We start from the raw sequence: 5,436 nt of genomic DNA, 5'->3' as shown, positions 1-5,436 counted from the left end.
TCTCATGATAGTGAGTGAGTTCTTAGAGATCCAATGGTTTTAAAAGTGGCAGTTTCCCTTGTGGGTTCTCTCTCTTCTGCCACCATGTAAGATGTGCCTTGCTTCCCCTTTGCCTTGCACCATGATTGTAAGTTTCCTGAGACCTCCCCAGCCATGTGGAACTGTGAGTCAATTAAACCTCTTTCCTTTATAAATTACCCAGTCTCAGATATTTCTTCATAGCAGCATGAAAATGGACTAATACAATAACAATACAAGAGCTGTCCTTGGGAAGTGAATATTTACCAGAAGCAAGAAGAAAACTCATGGGTCATCACACCACAGGTGAAAATTCAGTAAGTTCACTTTGAACAGAAGAAATCGTTGTGGAGAGTCACAGGAGGGAAAGGCAATGTTGGAAGAAATCAGAGAAGGCTTCGTGAAAGAGGTGACATCTGAGGGTGGCTTAAAAGATAGATATACATGAAAAGGGGAAATTTCAGGCAGAGAACATAGCGTCAATTAATTCATTTGTTCACTGAATATTTGTTGAGTGCACCAAGTCACACCCTATTTCTAGATGCTATGAAGAACATAGGCAAAAATCTCTTCGCGGATGGAACTTAAATTCTGGTGGCAGTGGAGAACAGAAAAGAAATGTAACATGTAAGCAAATGGTATGATACAGCAGAAAATGGAAAATAGCTTTATGAAAAGAGTGAAGCAGGATAGGTGATACAGAGTGGTCCAGGAAGATGGTAATTTGAAATAGGGAGGTCAAGGAAGGCCTCACTGGAAATTTGGGATTTGAGGAGGATCTTAAAGAAATGAGGGAATAAACCCATCCTGTATCTGCGACAAAGTGTTGCAAGCAGAACGAATAGGAAGTGCAAAGGCCTTGAGGCAGGGGCACGTCCAACAAAGAAGAAGAGAAAAGAGACTAGTATGGCAGCGACTAAGTGAAGGAGAGGACAGCGGTATGATTCAAGTTAAAAAAAAAAAAATAGTGGGAGAGCCAAAAAGTCTAAGTCCGAGTAAATGTGTATGGCAGAAAGTTGTGGTGCATTTTATAAGGAGACTGTACAATGATTTGTGTCCTACCATCTCTAGAAAATATGAATGAGAGAGAGGCCTGGAAAAAATGGATTGGTGCCAAATTGTGAAGTGCTTCAAATGTCAGGCTAAGGATATTATATTTACCTCAGTGGGAATGACAGAGCTTCATAGGTATTTGTTTTCAAAACCTAGAGTCATGAGGACATAGTATATGTTACCTTGTCCTCTCTCTTCATCCTCCTCATTTCTCTATGTAGGCCTGACACGAGAAAGTGACAGAATCAAGCATCAGAAGAGAAGTACAGACCAGATATAACGTTGTGCTGGTATTCCCCTCTCCCATCTCAAGCCTTGATTGACTTCTTGGTGAAGGGGAGATCCCTGTCTAATATTTCACAGCTTTATTTAACAAAATGAATTCCCATGTTTTACTACATTGTCAGAAAATTTCTACTTATATCTCAGCTAAATCCCTTTACCTTTGCTTTATTCCTTAGAGAGGCAAGCAACTCTTCCATCAGCTTGGGTTTCTGAAGAAAGCAGGAAAAAACTAAGCCTCAGACTGAAAAACCTCTGTCACCCTCAAAGAAAGGAAGTCAATATTTATTTATTTTTATAATCACCAAGAATCACCCTGTCAAAGGAAAGTCAGATATCACTAAGCATCAGCACATTTGCTAGAAAGGTAACGTCAGTTATAAACAGTCTTCTAAATCAATTGATTGCAGTTTGGGCTTTTATCACTAAAAGAAGAAAATCCTTTGCATTATAATAAAAGAAAATCCCAATCATAGAACAAAAAGAAGCAGCAATTCAGAGTGTAAAAAAGCATGTGATACTTAGGGAAATGGTTTTGCTACATCAGGAGCCAATAATGTCTCTACAATGATGCTTTAAATTGGACTTGGAATTCACATAGCAATGCTATAGGTTAAGGTTTCCAATTTTGACATGAGTGCTTTTAAGACACTGAGAAGTTGGGGCCAGTTTTAAAGAAAGGCTTCTCCATAAGGCAATGAATTATTGCTGTGTGTTTCTACATCAAACCTCTTATACAGAGTTCTAGCAATTGAACTGTCAGCTGTCACTTCAGCTCATTTGTGGCACAAGGAAAACTCTCTTCATTAAGATGCCCTGGCAACACTGTGTGATTGTGTAGCACCTTCTAATTGAAGGAGAAAATTTTAAGTATCTTTAATATCAATTTACTGTCAACTATCTGGTACTGCTGTCTTTGTTAGTATTTGAAAATAGTCATAGGCCTGGTGACTTTTTATTAACAAGAAGTCTGGATTAACCAGAACATTATTTTCCTTAGCCATGCTCAGTAGCTGATATTTTAATCCAAAAAGCATTGTGTTTTACTAGAAAGCATTGTTACAGAACAAGAAGAAACACAAGGGGTAGATTTATTTATCACTTCATATCATGGACAGATGGCCTTGTAATCTGCTCAGAATTTTAAAACAAAGATCTTTTAACAAAGTTTCAAAGCCCCTACTCTTTAAAAGTACCCACTTTGGGCAGCTTAAGTTAAAAATGTCATAAGTCATTTATATGGGGGCAGCCTGTGATAAGAACTGCCCCCAACCCTAGCTTCACACCCACCCCAATATGAATCAGCACTTCTTATAATATAAAACAACATCTCAGGGATCTGGGTAACTGTTATTCACCTCCCATGAAGGTACCAAAGAAAACTCGCACTTGTCAAAAACATCAAGAATTAACTTTCAAAAAATAAAATTTTACTGTGTTGGATTTTTACTACATGCTGGTGGTTTTAGATCATATACACTGAAGCAAAGTAGCAAAGCTTCATGCAGAATATACTAGAGTAGAAATCAGAAAATCTGAGAAATTTTTCTGTTGCTGTTTTTAAAATCCTGGTTCTGCTATTCATCTGTTCCTTGTTTGCTATCTCTGTTTTTCTCTCCCATTGTCTTGAGAGGAGAGGGTGATGAATATTGTCACCTGACAAGGATATGGTGCAGAATAATAAAGAAGTGCCTGCAAAGTGTTTAGAATGCCTTGGAGATAAATACCAACTAGCTACTATTGTAGTATCATTAATAAGCTAAAAATAATAATCAGACACATTTAGTGAAAATGCTGGGTATAAAATACAATATTTTACAGAAGAAAGTATGGATTTGGATCTTGATATTTTTCATTCACCTCTTCCTAGTATTGCCACTCCATCATGAATCACTGCAGACATACATTCTCAGGTCCTCTGAGTCAATCTCCTTATGTGACATCCAGGACTCAAATTTGTTTCTCTTTTTCTTGTCATGGTCACAAGCTGCAGACACAACAGTGATCCTATGAATTCATTACAAATCAACAGAACCATTATCAATTTTGAATCTTTCTTAATCTTTTAATTACAAAGCATCGATAAGCATAACTTTCTCTTTCATGCACCAAAACTTCAGAAAATAATTCTAATACCTTTTCAGCAATTTAGAACCTCTGCCACTTTACATCGTCTTTTACTTCTCTTGTCAGGATTATGGCATAAAATGTTATGCTTTAAATTATTTATCATGTCACTTCTTAGAGTCTCCTCTTTTTTTAGCTGAATGAAGAGATTAGGAACATTGGAATAAAATAACCCATGGACTTTGAAACGTAGGTAAAGTTATATTTAATAATACCTTTGATTTATATTTTAATTTTAAATGTACAGATAAATGGTATCATTAAACATACTTTAACTTTGTATAATAAATTGATGGTACCCTAATTATTATGTTACAAAGTAAGGACACATAAATTATTCATACACATCTACTGCAAATTGAATTTTTAAAACAAGCTTTATTTCCCATATTCTAGTCTCATCTTAGCCACTAGTGGAAAATAGTCCATTTCACAGCCACTGCTAATATGACACAGTTGGCAGTCTTTACTCCAAATAGGCTTAAGAGTGAATGAAAAGAGATATCAATGTTGTAGAATATAGATCAGATGAGAACATACTTCCAGCGAAATTGAGCGTTTATACAATGGTAGAATAAGAAATCAGTTCTCAATGTTGCCATTGGTTAAAAGAGAATTTAGACATCCAAATATTTTCAAATTTATTTTGGGGGTTTCACTGATTTTATGGGATTTGTTTATGAAACTCATTATTTGATAGTATCCCATTAAGGAACTGCCTCTCCCTACCTGTGTGTTCCAATTCTACAAGGCACTTTGCTCCTGTCCCGCTAAGATCCTCAGTGAGCATGAAAACTCTCACTTTATACTGAGTTAGGTGTGAAGAATGGGCAAGGGCGAGGGCCAGGAATCAGTGGGGTGAATGAAACTCTGGATTTATCTCCTTGCAAGGTCACAGTTTTGCCTCTTTGGTCTTTTCCTAGGTTGGTGCAGAAATACAGAGACAAGATGAAGGACCTATTTAGCCCCTCTCTGAAGTACTAGCTGTCATGCCACAGAGGCCCTTCCACTTGCATCAGTACCAAAGTGAGGATATATTTACCAAAATTGTCAATTTGATTCTGCTCCTACTTCCTTTTGGTACCCAGCTTTTTTTTTTCTTTTTTTCTTTTTTTTCTTTTTTTCTTTATTTTCTTTTATTATTATTATACTTTAAGTTTTAGGGTACATGTGTACAATGTGCAGGTTAGTTACATATGTATACAAGTGCCATGCTGTTGTGCTGCACCCATTAACTCGTCATTTAGCATTAGGTATATCTCCTAAAGCTATCCCTCCCCCCTCCCCCCCACCCCACAACAGTCCCCAGAGTGTGATGTTCCCCTTCCTGTGTCCATGTGTTCTCATTGTTCAATTCCCACCTATGAGTGAGAATAAGCAGTGTTTGGTTTTTTGTCCTTGCAATAGTTTACTGAGAATGATGATTTCCAATTTCATCCATGTCCCTACAAAGGACATGAACTCATCATTTTTTATGGCTGCATAGTATTCCATGGTGTATATGTGCCACATTTTCTTAATCCAGTCTATCATTTTTGGACATTTGGGTTGGTTCCAAGTCTTTGCTATTGTGAATAGTGCCGCAATAAACATACATGTGCATGTGTCTTTATAGCAGCATGATTTATAATCCTTTGGGTATATACCCAGTAATGGGATGGCTGGGTCAAATGGTATTTCTAGTTCTAGATCCCTGAGGAATCGCCACACTGGCTTCCACAATGGTTGAACTAGTTTACAGTCCCACCAACAGTGTAAAAGTGTTCCTATTTCTCCACATCCTCTCCAGCACCTGTTGTTTCCTGACTTTTCAATGATCGCCATTCTAACTGGTGTGAGATGGTATCTCATTGTGGTTTTGATTTGCATTTCTCTGATGGCCAGTGATGGTGAGCATTTTTTCATGTGTCTTTTGGCTGCATAAATGTCTTCTTTTGAGAAGTGTCTGTTCATGTC

The sequence above is a fragment of the Homo sapiens genome, chromosome X, assembly GCF_000001405.40.
Source record: "Homo sapiens chromosome X, GRCh38.p14 Primary Assembly".
Taxonomy (NCBI): Eukaryota; Metazoa; Chordata; class Mammalia; order Primates; family Hominidae; genus Homo; species Homo sapiens.
Note: the sequence above shows the minus strand (reverse complement) of the source record.